Raw genomic sequence first — 27,337 nt, forward strand, 5'->3', positions numbered from 1 at the left:
TCTTACTCTGCATTGCTAAATGCCCATTTTTCATAGAAAAGCTATGTAATGTATTTTTCGTATACGTGATTATGTTCTCCGACAGAGTCCATGACTTCTGTAATGTATAATATTTATGCAGGCTTGTTTTCTAAAGCAAAACAATATTCTCAATGTACAAAGTTTGGCCACCATCCCCACTTTAAGATGAACTATGTCTTAATGACAGAGATACTTGAAACGTTGCTCGAAAACTATAAACTTTGTATGGGATTCTAATAGCTAGAAACAAATTGTCAGCTTTTACTAATTCCAAAGAAGTTAAGAGAGAACCTCATAAGAAGAGAGTTTTATTCAACATTATGGCATGGCCAGTGTAATTGTTCCAACAAAGGGAACCTACTTTGGTGCCCGAGGAAATGGCTGTTTGTGATGCTGGGGAAAAGTCAAGATGCTGACGCCTAATGGCTGTTCTAGCCTTTCCAGGTTTGTAACATGAAGATGGGGAAGGAAATGGCACCACTGCTGTTTGTAATCTGAGGAACTCTTGGCAGCATTCACTCTCCAAAGCAGTACAAAACTTACAAAGAAGTCAAAAGTCTTAACACTCCCATTCTCCAGGAACTCTTGTCTGTGTCATCTGGTAGGAGGGAGGAATCCTGGTTCCCTCAGGTCCTTGTCATGTTAGCTTTTTGATAGCTTCAATCCACTCGGCTCGCTCAGCCTTGCTGCTGGCCTGAATGTAATAGTGTGTGTCATCCTTAGTAATCACTTTGAAGAGGTTTCCCTGGACATTCCCTTTAACCCCTAGGCAGAAAAAAGGGGGAAAAAAATCAGTGATTGAATAGCCATGTCTGCTTTCATCTTGAACCAGCAGAAAGTCAACTGAGACATGGACAAAAACATACAATGATGTATTTATTAAATAAAAGGTTTACAGTTAGAGAATCCTATCAGATGAGGTCCCCTTTTCCTCCCATTCCCTGTCCCTCACCAGTGCCCTAAGGCCTTCCAATGGTTATGTCTGGATATTCCTGGAAGCCCTCTTGCCTGCTCCCTATGCTCAAGATGGTAGCATGCCATAGATCTACCATTTCATTTACATCAAAGAATCCAGTATGTTTATGTTAAAAGCAAGCATAGAATTTGGAGTTTGATCTCAAATTGTTTAACTTATTGGAACCCCAGTTTCCACAGACACAAGATGGGAATAATATCTTCTTACTATGGCTGGCTATTGTGAAATTAGTATTATGATACATATTAAGGTATGTTGTTAACCCTAAAGCATTGTGTAAGCCTCACCTATTATTTTTAGGCGGAAGCTTATGGGCCATCAGCACAGAAACTGAGGGGAAAGATTATTAACATAAGGATTACTTAGTTGTATTCTTAAAACGCCAAGAACATACCCTTTGTTCAATTCTGAAATTCACTTCAAAACTCACACCACTCTGTCTCATGGAGAAAGCCCTGCTCGGCTCCCAAAGCTGTCATTTCATTAGTGGGACATTACTGAGGTGCAGGAGGGAGGCCCCTGAGATCTTCAGGCCAGGGCTGAAGTTGTACCTTACCAGTGGGAACGCCATTATCTTCCAGAGCAGACACGAGTGAACCACGAAGAGAAAACCCACCCACTGGCCTGTTCTCTTCCTGTAGAGGAAAGGAGACCCAATTAGGAATTTGTGAATGAACAAAAGGGAAGAGTTGCACTCCCCTTACAACTCAGGCCAGCTAAAGAAGTGAGTGCAAATCATTTGTAATAGAAGATGAAGCTGAACTTGGACATCACATGGCCAAAGCTGCATGCATCAGTAAGGAAGCTTGGGCCTCTTCATTTCACAGCCAGCAGCAGTAGTGCCCATCAATGTTGCAGTTACCAAGTCTCACAGACTTGCAAATCTGCTTTTCATTCCTGGAGATGTCTCAAACAGAGCCTCTGATCCAATATGCTACCCGGAAAAACATTCACTGGCTTCCTTAACCCTTGTGTGCATCTTACAAAGCAATCAGAAATATATATTTATAGTAATCATTTCTTTTTTTTTGAGACGGAGTCTCACTCTGTCTTTCAGGCTGGAGTGCAGAGGCACGATCTCGGCTCACTGCAACCTCTGCCTCCCAGGTTCAAGCGATTCTCCTGCCTCAGTCTCCCGAGGAACTGGGATTACAAGCACACGCCACCACACCTGGCTAATTTTGTATTTTTAGTAGAGGCAGGGGTTCATCACCTTGGCCAGGCTGGTCTCAAACTCCTGACCTCAAGTGATCTGCCCTCCTCAGCCTCCCAAAGTGCTGGGATTACAGACATGAGCCACTGCACCCAGCTATAGTAATCATTTCTGCAAAGTTGATAGATTCCTGCACATAGGACATCGTTACACAAATCTAGTATGTGCCTAGCAAGAAACTTCGTGTGATACAAAACTGCGATTGGTGGTATCCCTGGACGATTCAGGGCAACTTTACACACCTCGTGCCTCAGGCCCTAGGAGCCCTTCAATTAATCAATAATCAACTTCATACTGCATGTTGGGCCCAGCAAGAGGTAGGGCAAAAAATAAAATGGTTAAATAAAATACTGGAAATATTTGTACTACTAAATGCCAACGGGAGGAAAGTTCAGAGAAGGAAGGGATCCGCCCCAGCCTGGAGGGTTCAAGGGCAGTCTCAGGGAGGACAGGAGAGTCCTGTCCTGGATAGGAGAGTAGGTCCCCAGGACAGGAGAGGGGCATTCAGCCTAAACAGGAGGAAGAGTGGGAGTAAAGTGCGGAACAAATTAATTGCAGAATGCTTTTGAGATGGTTCCTTATCTTGTACCTGCAGCCCAGAGATTTGGCAATTCTTTTATTTCCTTTGCACACTTGCTTTGAGTAATCTCTTCTGCACTGTTTCCATCTATGTATGTATATGAGCATTTGTGCATGTGTACATATATATGTATATATGTATATTTACATGTATATGTATTTATAGATAGGTGTGTATAGGCACGTATGTGTGTGTATATATTTTCTCAGTTTCCTATTTTAAAAGCTGAGACAGCAGACTCATCAGGGGCACAAAGAAAGTAGGTTAGGCTAGACCATGGTGAGAGTTAAATACAAAACTAAAGTGTTTTTTTTCTTTTTTTTTTTTTTAAGTGTTTTTTCATTTGTTTATTTTTTCCTTGCTTCAAACAGGATTTGAGGTAGCCAGAAAGGAAGGAGTTTGAACTCCATCCTGTAGCCAGGCCACCATGCCCCACAGAGAGGTCAACTGGAGCTTTTTGGAGGCTCCTCCTGCCACATCCCTCCCTGGCCCTGGCCTAGCTGGGTCCAGGCAGGGGTTCCTGACTGAAGCTCAGTGAGGAAGGAACTGCCCACTCTTCACTGTTTCAACAAAAACTAATGAAAGTCATACATTGCCCAAGACAAGGCTGAACAGCTAACTAAAGGGCCCTTTTTCTTTGCTTTTGACTGGAATTAGATCCACTTAGCATGTGGTAATACCTAGTATCAGAAACATAAAAATGATTTTTTTTTAATTTGCCATCAAAGTTTTTTAAAAAGCAAATTAGTAAATTATGGCTTAAATATTATATGGTGACAGAAACTTTTCAAAACATAGGTGGGGAAAAGTGGAGGGAGGCAGAATTAATGGGATCTTTGAATGGAAAGTGTGGAGAGGCTGGGAAGTGCCAGTAGGAGTCTCTGTCAGCCTACCTCATCCTCCCTACTCACAAAGCAGGCTTTGGGGAAGACCAAAAGATGCTTTTCCTCTGAAAATGATAAAGATGCCCTCCCATGGGAAAGTGGGGGATTAGGCATGGAAGAAACGGCTCAAGAAGCAGGCACCTATGTGATGACAGGGCAGAGCAGCTTGGACTGTGGAAGGAAAGGCATGGTGCAGCAGACTTTACGGCGGGTGCCAGGGGAAGGCAGGATATCCAGCCAGCTGCCCGCCATGCCAGGAGAGGAGTGTCTGGGGGCATCACAACATGGGACCAACATGGAGCCAGCATGCGCACTCACTTTGGAAGGGTCATAGTAATGCAGGAAAGCTGGATCCTTCCTTAGAACAAAGCGACGCACCTTCCAGTTTTTCCTCTTGTGTCCCTGAGGCAAAGAAATGGTTCAAAGCTCATTGGTGACAGCTGCATGTCCCTCTCTCCTGTATCTATGCATGTAATGCCAAACCCCCAACAAGCCAGCCCGCTCCAATGGGACTACATTCTAAAACCAGTCCACAGGAAACCTGAGGATAGCAATGACATGTCACAGACCTCCCTGCCAACACCCCCACTCAGTGACACTGTAGCAAAAATGCCATCACCTTAAGTCAAGTCAGCAGAGCCAAAGAGAGTCCATGCAGAAGGAAAGGGGACACACAATACTCAGGGCATAAAGGAGGACAGGGAGGCAGCAGGTGTCAGCTGGGCTGGGAGCACACAGGCAAACTTGAACCCAAGGGCACCAGCTAAGGGCCAAGTCAGTCCAAAAACAAACCTACAGCTACATGTATATTTGTCAGTCTACACGTGTGCCCACATGTGCAGTAAAACCACTTTCACATTGTGCATTAGGAAAAAAGCAAGAAACGATCAATTATATGATAAAATCTAAATGTGTAAGCAGCTGATATGTGTGTGTGTGTGTGTGTGTGTGTGTGTGTGTGACTTTCTTTGGCCTCACTGACCAGGAGGGCTAAGGTTAGATCACAAACCTTAGCCCTCCTAGTCAGGAACACCCTCAGAGTCCCTCCCACACCCTCCTCAAGCTCCCCTAGGGGCCTCTCTTCCTCCCCTCGGGAAGGACTCCTATCAGGCCCAGCAGAAGCAGGGCCTTGGTGTAGACAGGCAGCAGTGGGGATGATAAGAATCTAAGAGCAGATGAGGATCCTGATATGCAGGAAGCAGGTGACAGCAACAGCACATGCTCCGAGTAACGATGGGAGTGGTGCCGAGCCGTGTAGGTGCCCTCTGTGCAGACACACACATTCACATGGTATACAATATGTGCACAAACACGAAGGCTGTGCAAAATGTCTGCTACACTTCCTGGGCCAAGGACAGGTGATTTTGTTCACAGAATACCCTTTTTGTTAGGCACAGGTAGGAATGCCGCAGGACACGGCTTGCCTCTGGTTCAACATAGCTGCTCTCCCAAACACGGTTTAGGAGTAGTGGCCATGGCCAGGCTTTGAATAGGGAGCCTTACAGTGGAGAATCTGATCTTCAACCTACCGACATGGTGGAGAAAATTGTTTTTAGCTCAGAAAGTGTATCAAGGAGGCGTGCAGAATCTCACAAGGGAAGGCAGAGACCCCAGGACGCCCCAAGGAACAGAAGGCCAGCAAATGCAAAACCTCAAGCCAGTCAGCAAAAGCTTCCAAGACAAATATGTGAAGCTGGGCAATTGTGTAGAAGTTGTTTTTTGATGTTGTGATAATTGTGTGTGTGTGTAGTACATTTTTCCCGAACAGCCCTTGTGTCTGGTACACATGTGTGTGTGAGTGTGGGCATATGCCTGTTCTTTGACTTGCTCCTGGAGGCTGGTGCTGGGCTCTTGCTTTCGTAGATTTTGCTGTAATTGGTGCCCTCCAGCAGCCTCAGCCCTTCCCTTCTTCTGGGCTCACTGCTCCCTCCCCTAAGCTTGAGAACTGTCCATCTCTCTTCCCTGCTCATAGCAGCCATACCTGCTTGGCCAGGTAGCCTTGTTTCACCACCGTGCCACTTAACTCCACAGTGCTCAGGCTAATTTCTTCCTTGGGGCTTATCTTCTTTTTGTAGCTCTCAGCCTAGGGGGAAGGAGGGAGCAAGGACTCTGCTACAGAAAAGACCCAGGCCCAGGCTATGGCGGCTGTCAGAGGGGAAAGGAAATTCCTCAGGACAGGAACCTCATTCTGCATCAGGATGAAGTCGTCCCCCAAGCCCAAGGTCTCCTCCCATGACTGTGGCCCCCAGGCCCCCATTCTGTTGTGTCTTCCTTAACTTTTGCCCTGGTGGCAAGAAGAACCCACTCCCCAACTTACAAAAGTGTACAGGGCTGTGGAGTCATCCAGGAACTGCTCGGCCAGATCCCCAGAGCGAATGGCTCCCATGCTTCGGACACCCACAGGCCTGAGGAAGTTCTCCTCCATGAGCATGGAGGCCAGGGTCACCGCCTCCAGACGGCTGGCCGTGAAGCTGTTGGAGATGAGCCAGTCCACCAGGGAGGAGCCTGGCCAAGGGCAGCACCAGTCAGGCGATGGGTGATGGACCAGCGTCCTTGGGGTGTGTGGCCAATGACCTCACTGACCTTGGCCCTCTGGGCAGCCTCAGGGCTCTACGCAAGAGCAGACTGAAGGCCACACCTGCTGCATAGAGCCGTGGCTGCACACCCACACATGGCCATCTCAGGCTAGCCTGTTGCCCAGCAGGCAGCTCTGACCTCAATACAGGGCGGTCAAGCACACAGCTGAGCCCTGCATCACCATGTCCCAGCTTGACTGCCCAGCCCGGCCCTGGGGGACAGGCTCACCGAGGAAGGTCTTTTTATAGGTGCTTCCCTGCTCCATGTTGGGGCTTGAACGGATTCCGGTGTTGCTATCGTGCATCTTGTCCACAATGCGACTACATGGAAGGGAAGGCAAAGGAGAGGGAACCCTCATCACGCGGGCAGGTATAAGGGAGGGTCCTGAGTCACTGCTAAGGGTATAAAGCAAGTGGCAAATGGTGTGACACACATCACAAAGAAAAGGGGTGTAGGAAAGCAGCCTTTTGAATGGCAAGAGTGATGCCATCTTGAAGTGAAGCCGCCATGATGATTGATTTTTGTTGTTGTTGTTTTTTGTTTGTTTTTTGAGACAGAGTCTCGCTCCGTCACCCAGGCTGGAGTGCAGTGGCAAGATCTCGGCTAACTGTGACCTCCGCCTCCCAGGTTCAAGTGATTCTCCTGCCTCAACCTCCGGAGCAGCTGGGATTACAGACATTTGCCACCACACCTGGCTAATTTTTGTAGTTTTAGTAGAGATGGGGTTTCACCATGTTGACCAGGCTGGTCTCGAACTCCTGACCTCAAGTGATCCGCCTGCCTCAGCCTCCGAAAGTACTGGGATTACAGGTGTGAGCCACCGTGCCTGGCCTGATGATGGATGTTTGACTCCTGCATACCACGGTGTTCCCATAGCACGGCTCACCCCTCATAAAGATGTTTATCTAACCTCCCCAGTGGTCACAGGTTTCACAAGAAAGTCTGAGGCACCACTAGCTGCACATTTTCCCAAAAAAGCTTGCTATATAAAGGATATTTTCTGGAAGACAAGTGTGGTGATTCGCTGTCTCTAGGCCAGCAGGGACATCACTTCTGTTTGTAAGTCCCTATTAAATGCCTCTTTGTGAGAAACTGGAATTGTCAGCCTCTTTCTCCTGCCTCTCAGCTCCCCTTGCAGGTAGGTTTGTTTATACCTCCTCACCACAGAACAGGGTGTTCAGTTATGCCTCCAAATTTGAGAGGCAGGATTTTCAGACATTTCTTTTCTTCTCCTTATCTAAATGTTCTTATATTTCTATGCCAGACACACACTGCTTTTGTAGTAAAACCAAAGAGGTGTGACTTTTAACTTACAAACAAGAGTGTATGCTGGGCACAGTGGCTCATACCTGTCATCCCAGTGCTTTGGGATACTGAGGTGGGAGGATCACTTGAGCCCAGGAGGTCAAGGCTGCAGTGAGCCATGATCGAGCCACTGCACTCCAGCCCGGGCAACTGAGTGAGACCCTGTCCCCAAAAAAGAAAAACAAAAAAGCCCCAAGAGTGCACAGTAGCCCACATGGTTCTCTGTGATCCCCTGCATTAAGTCCAAACCCCCTCAGCTACTTTTCCAACTATCTTTAAACCCACCTGCCTACCCACCTTTATCTGCAGCTGATCCTCCCTGCACCCACCTAGACCCATAGGAGGTGTACAGTCAAGATTTCAGTGCCTGGTGGGGAGTTTTTGTGAGCCCAGGAATGGATTCATACATCTTTGATGGGTGTTAACAGTTCTTTTGCCTGGGAGGTTGGTGGAGATTTACTGTGGTTTGAATGTTTATCCCAAAACTCATGTTGAAAATCCCCAATGTGGCAATATTGAGAGGTGATGCCTTTAAGAGGTGATTGGGTCATGGGGGCTCTGCCCTTGTGAATGGATTAATGGGTTAAATGAATTAATGAATTATCATGGGAATGGGACTGGTGGCTTTATAAGAGGAAGAGAGATCGGAGCAAGCATGTTAGCATGCTCAGCCCCCTCACTGTGTGATGCCCTGCACTGCCTCAGGACTCTGCAGAGAACTCCCACCAGCAAGAAGGCCCTCACCAGATGCAGCCCCTCAACCTTGGACTTCCCAGCCTCTATAATGATAAGAAATAAATCCCTCCTTATGAGTTACCCAATTTCAGGTATTCTGTTATAAGTAACAGAAAACAGACTAAGACGAGATTTTGGGGGAGCTGTGACACAGCCCTGAGCACCCTGGCTGAAATGGAATGGGGGTCTTGTGTCATGGAGGTGTGCAGAGGTGGCAAGAGCCACGAGAGATCCCATAGGAATGGGGCAGGTAGGTAGGGCCACTCCCAAGCAGAGAAAATAATATACACAGGACAGGAACAGCTGAAGGCCCTGAAGCACCGTGGTGGCACCAGCCAGACTGTGCAGCAAGCACAGAGCCCCCCCAAGGGGCAGGGTCCCCTGCCCACCCAACACAGGCAGGAGAGGCTGCCACAGAGCCCGGCAAGTGGGGCACTCACTGCAGGCTGATGTGCGGGGGCAGCTTGAAGGAGTTTCTCAGGCTGTGCAGCTGCTGGACCTTCCCCGGCTGCCCTGCATGAATAGCCCCGGTGATCTCAAAGGCCCAGGCATCCCGCTCCTCTCGAGAACAGGCCTCCAGGAAGTACTCCGTGGATGTTTGAGTCTTCAGCTTAATGAGGAGCTGTGGGAAGAGAGAGCCAGTCAGGCCAGCACTCAGGCAGAGCAAGAGGACGCCGGGCAGCAAAAATGACGGGGCCCCGGGAGAATCTAGGTGACAGTGACTGCCAAATGCCCTGAGCCCTCGGCCACATAGCAGGTAGTCTTTAAAGATTCACTTGGACACCTCCAGTGACAGGAAGCTTGCGGCCTCACACTGCAGCCTTTCCCTTGTGGACAAGGTAGTTACTGTAGGGCCTGCCTCCTGGACACACTAGTTCTGTTCTCTCTTCTAGAACCACACAGATGAAGACTCACCTCCTATGACAGCCCCTACACTGAAGAGGGAAATGCCCAGGCTTTAAAATCAGTCCCATCTGAACACAAACCCCAGCTCTGCCACTTGGCTGTGGACTCCCGGGCACATTAGGAAATGACAGGATATTAATGCCTACCTCAAATGGCCTGTTAGTCATGCTCCCTTCCGTCCTCTTTCCTGTGTCTAAGCATCAAGTCTTTCACACATTTCTCATAGGATATAGTTTCAGCTCCTTCCCATCCAGGTCGCTTTGTTTTTTTGTTTTGTTTTGTTTTTTGTTTTTTTCTTGAGACGGAGTCTTGCTCTGTCGCCCAGGCTGGAGTACAATGGTGCAATCTCAGCTCACTGCAAACTCCGGCTCCCAGGTTCAAGCAATTCTCCTGCCTCAGCCTCTTGAGTAGATGGGACTACAGACGCCCACCACCCCGCCTGGCTAATTTTTGTATTTTTAGTAGAGACGGGGTTTCACCATGTTGGCCAGGCTGGTCTTGAACTCCTGACCTCAGGTGATCTGCCAGCCTTGACCTTCCAAAGTGCTGAGATTACAGGCATGAGCCAATGCGCCTGGCCTCTAAGAGAGTTTTCATCAGACCATGCTCTCACTCAAAATCTTCAATGGCTCTCCATTACCTCCATCTGGCCCAAACCAAACTCCTATCACTCCTTTGGTGAACATTCCCCTTTGACCACACTGGAGGCCCTTCTCCCCAGAAGCCACACCCACCTCTCTGCATGCATTCTCTTCTTACTTTTACTCAAGACATTCTACCTGTCCAGAATGACTGCCTCTCTCCTTGTTCCATCTTTGCCCACATCTCTATTCCTGAAGCGTTGCCTGACCCAGCCTGAAATATCTTTTTCCTCTTCAGGGATAAAGGGTTTTCTGCAGCTCCTGATAGCTGTGGCATCATTGGAATGCCAAATATTTTTCAATTAACCACTTGCTTTCCCAATAAAATCAGCAACTCTATGAAGAAACAATCTTACCATTTTCTTCCTTGATTCCTCCATGCCTTGCAAATGTCTTGGCACATGATGGGCCCTTGATAAATAATTTATTGGGAGACTTTTTTTTTTTTTTTGAGGAGTCTCATTCTGTCACCCAGGCTGGAGTGCAGTGGCGTGATCTCGGCTCACTGCAAACTCTGCCTCCCAGGGTCAAGCGATTCTCCTGCCTCAGCCTCCCAAGTAGCTGGGATTACAGGCCACTGCGACCACGCTCAGCTAGTTTTTGTATTTTTAGTAGAGATGGGGTTTCACCATGTTGGCCAGGCTGGTGTCAAACTCCTCACCGCAAGCAATCTGCCCATCTCGGCCTCCCAAAGTGTTGGGATTACAGGCGTGAGCCACCACGCCCAGCCTAGACTTTTTTAATGGTAGAGTTGAAGCCACCCCTTACTTCTGGAACGCAGACCCCTCAGGGGATGAAAGCCATCATAGTGAACCCCAAGATAGCAGTAATTACTCACATTTGTGTGGTGCCTGCCTCCCAGCCCATACAGTGCTCTAATACACCGTGACCTTCATGGTCCTCACCACAACCATGTGAGACACTCAGGGGTAATTATTTCATCCCATTTTACAGATGAGGAACGAAGGCTCAGAGAGGTTTAGCTACTTGTCCAAGCTCACATACCTGGTATGTGGCGGAGCCAGGATTTGAATCCAAGTTTTTCAATTCTAACTCTGAGCTCTTCCTCCTACCCACACCACTTTCCCAAAGAGGCCAGAGGTGGGAAGGCTGTGGAACAGAGAGGAGCTGGACAGCAGGGGCCATCACTTACCGGTCGGTTTTCATACTCCAGGCAGGGGCAGGTGATGGTGCAGCCATCCAGGAGGATCCGGCCCTTGGGAGGGGTCACTCTCCGACCCCCCTCAAGCTTGTAGTACACCAGCGTGTTCTGCCGAAGGATGAACCATCGCGCCTTCCAGTTGTGGACAATGTGGCCCTATGGACAGACAAGAAAGCCCTGAGGTGAGGCGGTCAGTGGGAGGGTATGGTGTTCAGGGAGGGGGTGTCTGGTGGCACAAGTAACCAGACTGTGCTGTGGAAATCAGTCTCCAAGGAAGACAGCAGGATTTGTGTCTGGATCTCTTCTGAGTACGTAGCAAAGACCTTTGGCACTGACCTTCTAGTTCCTATTTGGCCATTTCTCTGGTTTTAAATCTTGAAAGAAACTACAAAGTAAAAAGAAGAGAAAAATCACTTCCTGTAATCCTACTGCTAGGAGACAGCCATTGCTAACATATTGTATTTCCTTCCGGTCTTTTTTCCTTTTAGTTTTTGCCTTCTGGTTTTTTAAAAAAATTAAGATTATTTTACATATAGTTTTATTTTCTAGTTTTTTTTGTTTTTGTTCTTGTTTTATAGACAAGGTCTCAAAAGAGACAGGCTGGAGTACAGTGGCATGACCTCAGCTCACTGCAGCCTCCCTTTCCTGGACTCAAGTGATCCTCCCACCTCAGAAAGGGATCCTTTCTGATCCCTCAGCAGACATTTCCCCATCCACTGATTTTTCTAGAAATAGGCTCTCCATGTTCACCTGACTATTCTGCCCATTGGCTCTACCACCCACCTGAGAGCCACCTAAACTACCCTTCTCTTTATTCCTGCCACCTGAGAACCACCTAAATGACCCTTCATTATTTCTGCCACCTGAGAACCAACTAAACTACCCTTCTCTTTATTCCTGCCACCTGAGAACCACCTAAACGACCCTTCTCTTTATTCCTGCCACCTGAGAACCACCTAAACGACCCTTCTCTTTATTCCTGCCACCTGAGAACCACCTAAACTACTTCCCGAGTGGCTGGGACTACAAGCGTGTGCCACCACACCCGGCTAATTTTTAAATTTTTTTGTAAAGACGAGGTCTCACTATACTCCCTAGGCTGGTCTTGAAGAACTTCTGGGCTTCTGTGATCCTCTCACCTTGGCCTCCCAAAGTGCTAGGATTACATGCATGAGCCACCATGCCCGGTCCCTGTTTTGTTTGGCCTTGCTGAACATCTTCTCATACCATTAAATTTCTGTAAAACATATTTTTAATGACGATTATGTGGATACATAGTTTACTTGCCAACTTCTATTGTTTGTAACTGAGGTTGTTCCATTTTTTCCACTGTTCTGTAATGAATATCCTTGCACGTAAATTTTGACCTGCATCTGCTTTTTTTCCTTTGGATATATTCCTAGAAAGAATATTACTAGTCAAAGGATGTGGGCAATATGAGGCCACTTACAGTCTCCCAGTGCTAAGGACTCTGACAGTCTTACCTAGCCAGGTGTGGCAGGCATAAAGAGAAGGGTAGTTTAGGTGGTTCTCAGGTGGCAGGAATAAAGAGAAGGGTAGTTTAGGTGGCTGTCAGGTGGCAGGAATAGAGAAGGGTCGTTTAGGTGGTTCTCAGGTGGCAGGAATAAAGAGAAGGGTAGTTTAGGTGGCTGTCAGGTGGCAGGAATAAAGAGAAGGGTAGTTTAGGTGGTTCTCAGGTGGCAGGAATAAAGAGAAGGGTGGTTTAGGTGGGTCTCAGGTGGCAGGAATAAAGAGAAGGGTAGTTTAGGTGGCTGTCAGGTGGCAGGAATAAAGAGAAGGGTAGTTTAGGTGGCTGTCAGGTGGCAGGAATAGAGAAGGGTCGTTTAGGTGGTTCTCAGGTGGCAGAAATAAAGAGAAGGGTAGTTTAGGTGGCTGTCAGGTGGCAGGAATAAAGAGAAGGGTAGTTTAGGTGGTTCTCAGGTGGCAGGAATAAAGAGAAGGGTAGTTTAGGTGGTTCTCAGGTGGCAGGAATAAAGAGAAGGGTGGTTTAGGTGGGTCTCAGGTGGCAGGAATAAAGAGAAGGGTGGTTTAGGTGGGTCTCAGGTGGCAGGAATAAAGAGAAGGGTAGTTTAGGTGGCTCTCAAGTGGGTGGTAGAGCCAATGGGCAGAATAGTCAGGTGAACATGGAGAGCCTATTTCTAGAAAGATCAGTGGATGGGGAAATGTCTGCTGAGGGATCAGAAAGGAATGAGTTTAGTACACAGTCACAAAAGCACCTTCCTGGGATATTTCCAAAGCCGAGCTTAGGGCTAGGTTCTAACCAACAGAGGTGCTTTACCTGAATCAAAGTCCGTTGCCCCAACTCACTCATTTCCTTGCCTAGTATGGATTCATATCAAAGGCCCTTTTAGTTCTCAATCTCTGGTGCTATGATTCTATTCCACACTCAGCACGTACTAAGAGCTGTTAGAGAGCCAAAAGTTGTAGAAGGAATCGTCTGCACCAAAGTTATTTGTGCATATAACTGAGCTTTGTGAACACTGACTTGAGCCCAAACAGAATTTACTGTGACAACTAAAGAACACTTATAACACAGCTAATCTGACAAGAGTTTATTAACATGTCCCAGTGTTACTATGCTACGTGATGATCACTCTGTTTCCATGAGAGGGTTCATGCAGTCCAGTGGAATTGCACATTTTTGCTCTCTTCACTTTGTTCCTTACTTACATCCACATGTAGTATGGGCATTGAGAGTTTTACCTGACACAAGCAGACATGTTTAAAGAAACAAAAAAGATTTGTCTTTGACTTCTCAGCTATTGGGGTTCTCTACTGCTCTGCACATAGCCCAGCCTCAGGTCCCCATTTCCTATGACCACCCCCCGCCCCAACTGCAGGGGTCCTGGGGCAGCACTAGCAGGACTGGTCTGGGACATCTGGGTGCTTCTGAATCCAAGGCAGTAAACTGCTGGCACCCAAGGCTGTAGCTGGAAGGGAGTGGAGAAGGCAATTAAGTTAATGGTAGGAGGGAGGTGGGAGGTGGAGTAGAGGAGAGGGCAAAAGAATCTTAGGGCTGAGCTCGGTGGTTCACGCCTGTAATCCCAGCACTTCGGGAGGCCAAGGTAGGAGGATCACTTGAGACCAGGAGTTTGAGACTAGCCTGGGCAACATAGTGAAATGCCATCTCTACAAGAAAAAATTAAAAATTAGCTGGGCATGGTGGCACACATCTGCAGTCCCAGCTACTTGGGAGGCTGAGGAGGGACAATCATTTAAACCCAGGAGTTTGAGGCTATAGTGAGCTATGATCACACCACAGCACTCCAACCTGGGTGACAGAGCAAGATTCTGCCTCTTAAAATAATAATAATAATAATAATAATAGTATGGGATGCACTGTGTGTCTGTGTGCCTCCAAAATTCGTATGTTGAATGCCTAGCCCCAGTGCCTGAGACTGGGAATGTATTTGGAGATACATCCCCTTTAAAGAGGGAATTAAATTAAAATGGGGTCATTAGGATGGGCCTTAATCCAATCTGACTAGAGTCTTTATAAGAAAAGGTGATTTAGGTTGGCTGCGGTGGCTCAGGCCTGTAATCCCAGGAATTTGGGAGGCTGAGGCAGAAGGATTGCTTGAGCCCAGGAGTTTGAGGCCAGCCTCAGCAACATAGGAAGACCTCATCTCTATTAATAAAAATAAATAAATAAATAAACAAATAAATAAAAATTAGCCAGGCGTGGTGGCACGTGCCTGTAGTCCAAGCTACTTGGGAGGCTGAGGTGGGAGGATTGCTGGGGCCCAGGAGGTTAATGCTACAGTGAACCAAGATCATGCCACTACACTGCAGCCTGGGCAACAGAGTGAGTCCCTGTCTCTAAAACAACAATAATAATAATTTTAAAAAGAAGAGGAGATTTGGACACACAGCTCACACAGAGGAAAGACCACTCAGGACACAGTGAGGAGGTGCCATCTGCAAGCCAAGGAGAGAGAGGTCTTAGAAGAAACCAAACTGCTGGTACCTTGATATTGGACTTCTATCATGCAGAACCATGAGAAACAAATCTCAGTTGTTTCAACCACCTATTCTGTGATATTTAGTTATAGCAGCCCTCATAAACTAATATGATAGGGAAAGGAAGGAGACTAGTGATATAAGAGGAGAAAAATGCAACCAACAGATATCGGGCAGAAAATACAAATACAGGCCGGCGCGGTGGCTCACGCCTGTAATTCCAACATTTTGGGAGGCCGAGGTGGGCGGATCACCCAACTCCTGAGGTCAGGAGTTCGAGAGCAGTCTGGCCAACATGGTGAAACCCTGTCTCTGCTAAAAATATAAAAATTAGCTGGGCATGGTGGCACATGCCTGTAATCCCAGCTACTCAGGAGGCTGAGGCAGAAGAATCACTTAAACTCAGGAGGCGGAGTTTGCAGTGAGCCAAGATGACAGTGCCACTGCACTCCAGCCTGGGTGACAGAGGAAGAGTCCATCTCAAACAACAACAACAACATCAACAAAAATACAGAGATGTTATACTTTCCTGGACGAAATGTTACATTTCCCAGAGTTTCTTCCACTTAAGGAAGTTTCTGTCAATTCCATGCATGGGGCATTGATGTAATTTTTACTTTAAATTTTTTTATTTTTAATTTTTGTGGGTACATAATAAGTATATATACATGGGGTACATGAGCTATTTTGATACAGGCATACATTGCATAATAATCACATTATGGAGAATGGGGTATCCATCCCCTCAAGCATTTATCCTTTGTGTTACAAACAATCCGATTATACTCTTTTGGTTATTTTTAAACGTACAATTAAGTTATTATTGACTATAGTCACCCTGTTGTGCTATTAAATAGTAAGTCTTTCTCATTCTTTCTAATTAATTTTTTTGTACCCATTAACCATTCCCATCTCCCCGGCAGCCCCTCACCCACCCTTCCCAGCCTCTGGTAACCATCCTTCTACTCTCTAAGTCCATGAGTTGTTTTGATTTTTAGAGCTGGCGAATAAGTGAGAACATGTGACATTTGTCTCTCTGTGCCTGGCTTATTTCATTTAACATAATGACCTCCAGTTCCATCCACATTGTTGCAAATGACAGGATCTCATTCTTTTTTATGGCTGAATAGTATTCCATTGTATATATGTACCACAGTTTCTTCATTCATGTGTTGGAGGACACAGGTTGCTTCCAATCTTGGCTATTGTAAACAGTGCTGCAACAGACATGGGTGTGCAGATATCTCTTCAATATATTGATTTCCTTTCTTTTGGGTATATACCCAGCAGTGGAATTGCTGGATCACATGGTAGCTCTATTTATATTTTTTTGAGGAGCCTCTAAATTGTTCTGCATAGTGGTTGTACTAATTTACATTCTCACCAACAGTGTAGGAGGGTTCCCTTTTCTCCATATCCTCACCAGAATTTGTATTTGCCTGTCTTTTGGATAAAAGCTATTTTAACTGGGGTGAGATGATATCCCATTGTAGTTTTGATTTGCATTTCCCTGATAATCAATGGTGTTGAGCACTTTTTCGTAGACCTTTTTGCCATTTGTATGTCTTCTTTCGAGAAATGTCTATTCAAATCTTTTGCCCATTTTGCATTGATGCATGTTTGGTGGTAGTCAAACATGGGAAAACAAGAAATTTTGGCAAGGGCAGTAGCAAAAGAGCAGATTGTTCTGATACCCAGACTCAGAGTCATCAGGGACAGGTGGCAAACAGAGTCAGCAGTGATGCTTCTAATAGAAACATCTTCAAACAGAAATGACACCAACCTAGTACTGTGGGTGTTTTTGTCTGACTGTATGGTCCCCAGCTCTATGGCATCCCAGCCAAATATTCTCTGTCCTGTCAAATATTCTCAAGTTTGTATATGTCCTCCAAGAAACCCCTTCTGTTCAAAGTCACTAAAGTGGAATGTGTTACAAGCAACTGAGAATCCTAACTGATAGCAAAGGAGAGAAGTCTGAGGAGAAAAACTGATGACAAAAGATGTACTACGTAGACAAGAAATTCAAATAAGCTGGTGGCCCTCATGAAAATGTTCAAATCCTTTGACCCAATAATACCACTTTAGGGATCTCTGTTAAGTAAATAATCTAGAATATGAGGCTGGGTGCAGTGGCTCACGCCTATAATCCCAGCACTTTGGGAGGCCAAGGAGAGAGGATCTCCTGAGCCCAGGAGTTCAAGACCAGTCTGGGCGCTATAGTGAGAAGTCATTTCTACAAAAAAATAAAAAATTAGCTGGGTGTGGTGGCACACTCCTGTAGTCTCAGCCAACTCAAGAGGCTGAGGTGGAAGGACCACGTGAGCCTGGGAGGTCAAGGCTGCAACAAGCTGTGATTGCGCTACCACACTCTAGCCTGGGCAACACAGTGAGACTGCCAAAAAAATTTTTGAAAGAAAATAATATAGATTATAGAAAAGGTTTCATGTATTGACACTTATAGGAACACTGCTTATAATAATGAAAAAAATGAAAAATAATCTAAATATATATGGTAACAACATAGTGCCTGGTGTAGCTGCAGTGCAAGAATTCCAATCCTAAGAGATGGTAGGCCACTGGCACAGCCTTCAAGGTCAGACTCCACAGTCTAAAGCAACAAGAATAGGTGGCAATGTCTTTGACATGAGCAAAGCACTTTTACTCATATTACTTCATATGATACCTAAAAAAACTCTAGCAGCCACATGCAGCTGCAGTCTCAGCTACTCAGGAGGCTGAGGCAGGAGGATTGCCCACGCCTAAAAGTTCAAGTCCAGCCTGGGCAACATAGTGAGACCCTGTCTCAAAAACAAAACTAAACAACAAACCTCTAGTAGTAGTATTTTAGAAAATACTTCTAAATATTTAAAATTTCGAGTTGGGTGTGGTGATTCACACCTGTAATCCCAGCACTTTGGGATGCTAAGATGGGAGGATCACTTGAGCCTAGGACTTCAAGACCAGCTTGGACAACACAGCAATACCTAGTCTCTACAAATAATAAAAAAATTAGTCAGGTGTGGTGACATGCACCTGTGGTCCCAGCCACTCAGGAGGCTGAGGTGGGAGGATCATTTGAGCCTGGGAGGTCGAGGCTGCAGTAAGCTATGATCACACCAATGAACTCCATCCTGGGCAACAGAGTGAGACCCCATCTCAGAAAAAATATATATAGTACATAAGTATTTCTAATACTTATGTATTTCTTGTAGTTTAGAAAATTTCTGGAGGGATACCCCAGAAATGTAAACAATGGTCACCTCTAAGGAGTAAGAGTGGATACAGAGTAATAAGAATGGTGGCCAGGTGCGGTGGCTCACACCTGTAATCCCAGAATTTTGGGAGGCCAAAGTAGGCGGGTCACCTGAGGTCAGAAGTTCAAGACCACCGTGGCCAACATGGCGAAACCCCATCTCTACTAAAAATACAATATTAGCCAGGTGTGGTGGCAGGCGCCTGTAATCCCAGCTACTCAGGAGGCTGAGGCAGGAGAATTGTTTGAATCCTGGAAGTGGAGGTTGCAGTGAGCCAAGATTGAGCTCCAGCCTGGGCGACAGAGCAAGAGTCCATCTCAAAAAAAAAAAAAAAAAAAAAAGAATAGAAACTTATTTTCATTTTCATTTCCTTGAGTACTGTTTTAGTTTGTTTACTTATATGAATGTATTATTTTTATCATGAAAAAATGAATTTAAATTTAAATACACAAAAATCCTGATGAGATGATTAGGGAAATCATTCATTCATTCATTTAATAATCAATGATTAATAATATGGCACCAAGGCAAAGATGAACAAGACTCTGTCCTAATCCAGTGGGGAAGACAGACACCTACCCCACCCAGTATGAAAAGTTCCAGGACAGATGACTGGCATGGCCTCAGTGATCCCCTCCTTCTGGTGTTCACAGCCTTGCATAGTCTCCTTCCACATTTTACTAGGGTTGGTCTGTATGGCAATATGGCAGAGTGATGGTATCCCAATTCTGACATTAGGTTATAAAGGTCTTCTGAGGCTTCTTATTGGCATTCTCTCTCTTTCTCCCTCTGCCTCTCTCCCTCTCTCTCTTTCTGATTATTTGCTGTGGGAAAAGCTAGCTGCCATATCCTAAGCAGCCCAATTGAGAGGTGAGGAGCTGAGGCCTCCAGCCAACAGCCATGTAGGTGAGCTCAGAATTGGACCCTACAGCCAGTCAAGCCTTCAGGTGACTGTCACTCTTGGCTGCAGCCTCACGAGAGACCCTGAGCCAGTCTTGCAGCTACGCTGTTACTGGATATCTGACCCTCAGAAACAGTGAGATGACAAATCTTGTTGTTTTAAGATGCTTGGCCAGGCACGGTGGCTCACACCTGTAATCCCAGCACTTTGGTAGGCTGAGGGCAGGTAGATCACTTAAAGTCAAGAGTTTGAGACCAGCCTGGCCAAAAAGGTTAAACCCCGTCTCTACTAAAAATTCAAAAATTAGCTGGGCGTGGTGGTGGGTGCCTGTAGTCCCAGCTACTCAGGAGGCTGAGACACAAGAATCACTTGAACCCAGGAGGAGGAGGTTGCAGTGAGCCAAGATGGCGCCACTGCACTCCAGCCTCGGTGAAAGAGCAAGATTCCATCTCAAAAAAAAAAAAAAAATGCTAACTTTTGGGATAATTTGTTATACAACAATCAATAATTAATATAGGGCATGATACAAACCCCAAGGAGGAGCTCAGGAGAGGCTGAGGTGGGGTTAGGTACATTCCCAGGAGTGATACTGGGGCTCAGTCTTCCTGGTTGTGTGGAGTTAGGCAGGTCAGGAAGTCAAGGAGGGGTGAGCATAGGACCCCTGCCACTTTGGGGAGACTCCCCGTGGTTCTATATGGCTTGGGCTCCATAGGGGAGGTGATGGGGACCAAGGTGGCAAGGGCTTCAGGTTCTGTGCCACAAAGTTTGATCTTCAAGGGGAGTCCTTGGAGGATTTTAAGCAGAAAGACAGCAAGCTTACGTTCTCATGTTAAACCTATCACTCCGAACACAGCAGCAGAACAGAATAGCCAAAGGAAGCAGGTGAGACTGGAGTGGGGAGCTCAGCTGGAGGCTGCTGGAATAGTCCATGAACCTGGCAGGAAAGCACCACCGGTTCTGCTCTACAGATAAACCACACCATGCACAGAGGGCATAGTGACTGGTCTAAAATCACCAGGCAAAGTGAGTCACAGGCCGATAACACAATGGTATGCTGAAGAAGAACCCAGGCCTCCCTCCACCTGGACACTTGTCCCTGGGCAGAGAGTAGCTTCTCTTTTAGGTTTCTTGTCTGTAATCCGCTGGCTGGAACCAGAGGCCAGCTGAAGCAGGGGGTGCTTGGAGTTCCCTGGATCCCTTTTGGAGAGAAGGACGAGGGGCCCATAAGCTGGAATGGCACCTCAGGGATGGGCTTATGAGACACAGAATGTTACAGCTGGAGAGACCCCAGGAAAAAGCCTCCTTTATTCCTTATTACTATTACTTTTTTTTTGAGACGGAGTCTTGCACTGTCGCCCGGGCTAGAGTGCTGTGGTGCGATCTCAGCTCACTGCAACCTCCACCTCTTGGATTCAAGCAATTCTCTTGCCTCAGCCTCCCGAGTAGCTGGGATTAGAGGCACCCATCACCACACCTGGCTAATTTTTTGTATTTTTAGTAGAGATGGGGTTTCACTATGTTGTCTAGGCTGGTCTCGAACTCCTGACCTCGTGATCTGCCCACCTCGGCCTCCTAAAATGCTGGGATTACAGGCATGAGCCACCACGCCCAGCCCCTAACCTTATTTTTTTTTAATTAAAAAAAATGTTTTTGAGGCAGGGTCTCATTTGGTTGCCGAGGCTGGAGTGCAGTGGCATGATCATAGCTCACTGCAGCCTCAAACCCCTGGGCTCAAGCGATTCTCCCATCTCAGCCTCCCAAGCAGCTGGGACTACAAGCGAGTACCACCATGACTGGCTAATTATTTTATTTTTTGTAGAGATGAGTTCTCATTTTGTTGCCTAGGCTGCTCTCGAACTCCTGGCCTCAAGCAATCCTCCCACTTTGGCCTCCCACATTGTTGGAATTTACAGGTGTGAGCCACCACACCCGGCAGACCCCTAACTTTAAAGATAAGGAAACAGAGGCACAGAAAGGTCTTGCCCAAGGCTCTATAACCCTGAGAAAAGCAGAGATGCCAGCTGGGCCCAGTGGTGTGTACTTGTAGTCCCAGCTACTTGGGAGGCTGAGCCAGGAAGTTCGCTTGAGCTCAAGAGCTCAACATTGCAATGCACTATGATCACACCTGTGAACAGTCCCTGTGCTCCAGCCTGGGTAACATACTGAGACATTGTCTCTTGAAAATAAAATAAAATAGAGGGCCGGGCATGGTGGCTTACACCTGTAATCCCAGCACTTTGGGAGGCCAGGTGGGTGGATCACCTGAGGTTGGGAGTTCAAGACCAGCCTGACCAACACGGAGAAACCACGTCTCTACTAAAAATACAAAATTAACCGGGCGTGGTGGTGCATGCCTGTAATCTCAGCTACTCAGGAGGCTGAGGCATGAGAATCACTTGAACCTGGGAGGCAGAGGTTGCAGTGAGCCGAGATTGCACCATTGCACTCCAGCCTGGGCAACAAGAGCAAAATTCGGTCTCAAAATAAATAAATAAAATAAAATAAAATAAAATAAAATAAAATAAAATAAAATAAAATAAAATAAAATAAAAAAAGAAAAAACAAAGATGGGATGATACTTGCTATGGGTTGAATTGTATTTCCCCAAAAAAGATACACTGAAGTCCTAACCTCTGGACCTGTAAGTGTGATGTTATTTGAAAATAGGGTCTTTGCAGATGTAATCAAGTTAAAATGAAGTCACCCTAGACTAGAATGGGCACTAATCCAATTGACTGGTGTCCTTATAGGAAGAGGAAAATTTGGACACTAAGAGACACATAGGGAGAGGATGGTCACGTGACAACAGAGACAGTGGTTGCACTGAAGTATTTAGAAGCCAGGGAATGCCAAGGGTTGCCTGCAAACACCAGAAGCTAGGAAGGATCCTCCTCTACAAGTTTCAGAGGCAGCACGGCCCTGGCAACACCTTGATTTTGCACCTCTAGCCTCCAGAACTCCTTCTGCTCTTTTTCTTCTACGCATATTTTTTCTTTACTCATACATTTTATCACTTTACTCTTCGGATTTTAATACTATAAACATATTCAACATCTGCATAACCATAATTTAATTAGTCATTTGGTGGGGACAGACAGGTGGTTTTCAGTTTTTTCGCCACATAAATGATCCTTTATTGGCCAGGCGCCTATAATCCCAGCACTTAGAGAGGCCAAGGTGGGAGGATCGCTTGAGCCCAGGAGTTCAAGACCAGCCTGGGCAACATGGTGAGACATTGTCGCTATAAAAAAAAAAAAAGAAATAAAAAAAAAGCAAAAAACAAAACATTAGCTGGGTGTGGTAACATGTACCTGTAGTCCCAGCTACTAGGGAGGCTGAGGCAGGAGGATTGCTTGAGCCTGGGAGGTCAAGGCTGCAGTGAGCCTTGCTGATGCCACTGTACTCCAGCCTGGGCAACAGAGTGAGACCCTCTCTAAACAAAATAAATAAGTAACAGGGGGGTGTGGTGACTCACACCTCTAATCTCAGCACTCTGGGAGGCCAAGGCCAGGGGATCACTTGAGCCAGGAGTTTGAGACCAGCCTGGGCAACAGAGTGAGACCTCATCTCTACAAAAATACAAAATAAAATAAAAATAACTCTTTGTTATAAAGCTTTTACAGAGCTTTACAAAAAAGGATAGAGCCCTGCACATAAAATCTCTAGGCCAGAGCATGTTCACATTGCAATGTTATTCACAATATGAGCCCAGCAGGAACGCCCGGCAGTGCTTCTGTCTCTTCTCCCAGGAAAAGCACTCCTGCTCACGGCTCATCCCCCACTTCCCTCTCCCCACTCCCCTGACAGCCAGGCCCAGTGAGCTCCTTGCATTTTGCCTGGAACTCTGCTTCTTTCTCGTCTGGGTGGGATTAAGAGCCAACTCTATCATGTCCCTGCCTGTCTCTGGCTTCGCTTTCACCGGTGATGACTGCTCTGCACTCCGGCTTCCAACGCAGGCCCTGCCCCACCTCTGAGCTCTTAACTCTCCTAAGACTATGGAATCCCCCTGCCACAGCCTGCAACTTCTCCAGTGGACATAGGGAATGCTATTGCCATCTAAGAGTAGAGGGGATATGGAGGGTTGAAAAAGTTGGGATTACTCAGCAGACTGGGACCACAACAGGGTTCTGGGGCCCTATCCTTCAGCCTGCAGGGAGGGGTGTGACTTCTGCTTGCCTCAGGGTCAGGCTCCATCCCAGTCTTTGGGTCTGGCTGGAATGAGCTCTAGGTATTTCAGCCAAGCCCCGTCTTTTCCAAGGGCTTACGGGGACCAGATCTGTTGACTCTCCTCATTTTCTGCACCCTGGATTCCCTAACCAGGCCACCCAGAAGAGAAGTCCCATCCTCCTGGTGATATCCTGGGAGCTCTGTGGCTCTGCCCTTAGCCCTCCTCTGACTCTCAGCATGGTGGGGGTGATAGGGAATGATGGAAGGTAACCCCCAGGAACAGGAGAAGGCCTCCAAAACTCCCAAAGCTCTATCAGAAGGATCTGTCTCCATGTTAACTTCATCCCTCCACAGGCTCTACCAGGGCCCAGCTATATCAACAGTGCCAACAAAAAGCCCCGTGCCCAGCTCTCACTCTCCCTCCCACCTCCCAAGCCGCAGTTAAATGTGAGATTAGGAGCTCCCCATGTGTAGTCTGAGGTGCAGCCACCTCCACATGCTGCGAGAAACCGGCCTATCAGTTCAGCCACAGTGGCAAGTGGGCGTGGCGCTTTGTACTGCTCTATCCAGTCTGACCCTTGATCTGGCATCAGCTTCTACCCTCCTTGCTTACTGTTTACAGCAAACAGCCACCGCTCTCCTGTACCAAATAACGTGCAACATCATGTGGACACATTTTGTGGGGAAAATGAAAGTGATGTGAGACTTTAGGGCTGATCCAGCCACCCCGGGAGGCAATGAAAGGAAGGGCCCCTCATCCCTCTTCATTCCCCTCCCAAAGCTGAAAACTCAGTAGAAGAACCAGAAAGCTCAGCCCTGGATTTATATGTCTCTTTGCTATGCCATCATAGCAGTATAAATGGTTAGTGTTAATGTCATTGTTCAAATTACGCTCTGTGTGGTGGCTCACGCCTGTTATCCCAGCACCTTGGGAGGCTAAGGTGGGCAGATGACTTAAACCCGGGAGTTCAAGACCTGCCTGGGAAACATGGCGAAACCCTGTCTCCACAAAAAAATACAAAAATTAGCTGGGCATAGTAGTGGATACCTGTAGTCCCAGCTACTAGGGAAGCTGAGGTGAGAGGACCACCTGAGCCTGGGAAGTCGAGGCTGTGGTGAGCCAGGATTGTGCCACTGCACTCCAGCCTGGGTGACCCTGTCTCAAAAAAAAAAAAAAAAAAAAAAGGTCAAATCAGGAAAAAATTTTGAAATAACAAACTTCCTTTTGCAGCTGCTCTTTTGTTCATCTTCTACCATAATCCCAGGCACTGAGTTTTTGTTTGCACTCGTTTGCCCTGGGCCACCTGGGGTGGTGGGGAAGGACTGAGGAGGGGAGGTCAGAACATGCAGTTCCTGTCCCAGCTATTACTGGCTCTGGAGCTCTGGGCAAGCTACTTCATCTTTCTGGTCCTCAGTTTCCCCGTCTGTAATAGAGTGATGTCAGTACCCACCGTGTATGGCACTGGGGAGGCAGTAAAGGTTTGGGTCAACCTGAGTGGGTCTGATCCCGATCCTGGCTCCACCACCCACTGCCTTCACCGCCCCGAGCAAGTTCCCTAACTCCTCTGGGCTTCGTTTTCCCCCTTGATGAAAGCAGGGCTGCTGGGAGGATGACATGAGACAATATCCAGGGCTGGCCAACAGTAAGTGCTTAAGACACATAGTAGCATTCCTCCTTCACAGGTTGTAAATTACAGAGCACGCCTATATTATCTTAGTAAATATTATTTAAATATCATACCATTCATAATATTTTAACAAGTTTTAATTAAGACACACGCTTCAGTACCCCTGCCCCGACTCCATACTGCGCTAACCAAGTGGGATTCTCCTCCTTGCCTGTGCGCTGAGCCACCGCTTACCCCGCGTCCCCTCGGACATGCAGCTCTGCCCATCAGGGCCACAGGCGGCCCGGTCCCACCATGGGGGTTGGGGATGGGAACCAGAGCATGCCCGTTCCGGGGCGCGCGTCTGGCCCCGCTCTAGGGAGCCGCGTCGGCGGGGCCCCACCCGGGCAATGTCCCGAAGCTCGACGCGCACTCACCCTCTTGACCAGGAAGCCCTCCTTGAGCACGCCGTCCTCCATGTCGCCGCCCGCACGCCAGGGCCACCCCAGGTGCGCCTTCCCCGCGCCTCGCGCTCCTCGGCACCCGCGCAGCCCGCGCAGTCCGCGCCCACGGCGCCCAGGAAGCAGCTCCGACGCGGCAGGGCGACGCCTCCCTGGCGCGTGTCCAGAGCCTGAGGCCCCGGGGCAGGAAGTCAGACCAAGTCGGGATTTCTGACGTGACGTTTCCACCCAAAGGTGCTCCAGGGTCGGTGGTTGGTCCTCCAGGTACAGAGCGGCCAACCCCGCCCCATCCAGGTGCGCCCCGCGCCCCTCACTGTTCCAGTCTCTCTGCTCAGCGTCCTTCGCCAGGTGCTTCCCGGGCACTTAGCGCATTGCCCTCGAGGAACGCTTATCGAATTGAACATAACCGACAGGACTCCAGGATTTGGAGCCATTCCTGAGCTCATTGCAAGTAGGAGATGGGACAGTGGGTGAGCCGAAACTGGTATGGGAATTTTATCCTGGCCTCTGATGGGGGCAGAGAAGACCTCTCAGTAACAGGAAGGTCACAGTTTTAAGGCGGCAGGCACAGTTTGCAGGGCCCCCTGTCCGCAGGATATACCCCGCTCCCTCAAAAAAGATGAAGCCGAAAATTCCATCATTAAGGACAAAATTTAAGGGGGCACCAAGGAGTCCAGTAACCTAGACAAATTATATATAGAGAGAGATGATTGGTTTTTTGGGGTTTTTTGTTTGTTTTTTGAGACAGGGTCTTTCTCTGTCACCCAGGCTGGAGTGCAGTGGTGTGATCATAGCTCACTGCAGCCTTAAACTCTGGGCTTAAGATCCTCCTGCCTCAGCTCCCCAAGTAGCTAGGACTACAGGAGTGCACCACCATGCCTGGCTGGTTTATTTTTATTTTTCGTAGAGATAGGGTGTTGCTATGTTGCCCAGGCTGGTCTTGATTCCTGGCCTCAAGCAATCCTCCGGCCTGGGCTTCCCAAAGTGCTGGGATTACAGGCAAGAGCCACCGTGTAAGACCTAGAAAAATAATATTTTAATGCATTTTTTAAAATCAAAATTAATGTCAAAAAATCCACGATGAACAAAATGCTAACATTTTAAATAGATAGGATCAACAACAATGTTCTATCAGGCCATATTGGAGCCTGGAACAGAAGGAAACTCAGTCAAATAGTACTGATTCTGTCTAACAATCCTTAGAACACAGTCACACATTTTTTTAAAATTTATTTTTATTTATAGAGACAGGGTCTCACTATATTGTCCAGACTGGTCTCGAACTCCTGGGCTCAAGCAGTCCTCCTGCCTCAGCCTCCCAAAGTGCTGGGATTGTGGGCATGAGTCATGGGGCCGGTCCATATTATTTGTGCTCCAGTTTGAAGGGCCCTGTCAGGACTCTTCACCAGGCATGGGAAAGGCCCTCAGATGCCTGTAAGGGAAGAGAAGGCTCTAGAGAGGAAGAAGGTGAACCAGCTTGTGGAAGGCGGGGGGTGCCTTTCAGAACCAGACTGAAGCCAGCTCCCAGGCCAGTCCCTGCCCTGGAGCTCTTGACACAGTGTTGCTTCTACATGTCTGTAGTAGACATATTACATCCCCCCAACCCCACTCCCACCTGCCAGCCCCAAGGAAAACTCGCAGGGTCTGGGTCACTGCGTGCCAGCCCAATGGCCCACTCTAGCCTTCTGCACTAACTGGCCTTCAGACTTCCCAGGAAGCCCCAAAGCAGTGGGGCTTCCATTCCAATTCAGAATGAACATCAGCTGGTCACCTTCTGAAGCCAGGCCTGTAGTAGTAGGTGCTAGGTTTTATCTAAAGTACAACAACCCCATGAGGTGTTTATTATGTCATTTTCCAGTCAAGGAAACTGAATCCAAGTAGTTAAATAACTTGCCCAAGGTTATGCAGCTCCAGGGCATTGCAAATACTCTTGCCTCCTAAGGAATTGTCCCAGCTCTGAAACCTA

At 47.4% G+C, this 27,337-nt stretch overlaps 2 protein-coding genes across 4 annotated transcripts in view, besides 1 other annotated feature; one reads left to right on the forward strand and one right to left on the reverse strand.

The window, feature by feature from the left end:
- The window catches only part of GPHN (gephyrin), a 1,227,209-nt gene that overhangs the window by 878,524 nt on the left and 321,348 nt on the right, over positions 1-27,337 (forward strand). The gene's annotated exons all lie outside the window — the stretch shown is intronic.
- On the reverse strand, positions 314-25,495 carry PLEK2 (pleckstrin 2). 3 transcript variants are annotated; one of them, XM_047431263.1, is made up of 10 exons: positions 25,348-25,495; positions 11,337-11,385; positions 10,992-11,156; positions 8,732-8,913; positions 6,480-6,571; positions 5,992-6,179; positions 5,656-5,757; positions 3,993-4,076; positions 1,554-1,632; positions 314-786 (listed from the first exon to the last, which is right to left on the reverse strand). In XM_047431263.1, exons 5-10 carry the CDS (start codon positions 6,553-6,555, stop codon positions 659-661), a joined length of 657 nt encoding a protein of 218 aa, XP_047287219.1. In that variant the 5' UTR covers positions 6,556-6,571; positions 8,732-8,913; positions 10,992-11,156; positions 11,337-11,385; positions 25,348-25,495; the 3' UTR covers positions 314-658. The 3 variants fall into 3 exon arrangements, with proteins under 3 accessions (XP_047287219.1, NP_057529.1, XP_047287218.1); NM_016445.3 differs by lacking the exon at positions 11,337-11,385; XM_047431262.1 differs by lacking the exons at positions 5,656-5,757; positions 11,337-11,385.
- Positions 2,622-2,916: a silencer, noted in NCBI's record as "tiled region #12737; HepG2 Repressive non-DNase unmatched - State 23:Low, and K562 Repressive DNase matched - State 7:EnhWF". NCBI's record gives its function as "represses a minimal TATA promoter and a strong SV40 promoter by Sharpr-MPRA in HepG2 and K562 cells {active_cell/tissue: HepG2 | K562}" and the evidence as "EXISTENCE:reporter gene assay evidence [ECO:0000049][PMID:27701403]".

This window comes from Homo sapiens, chromosome 14, assembly GCF_000001405.40.
Source record: "Homo sapiens chromosome 14, GRCh38.p14 Primary Assembly".
NCBI classification, from domain to species: Eukaryota; Metazoa; Chordata; class Mammalia; order Primates; family Hominidae; genus Homo; species Homo sapiens.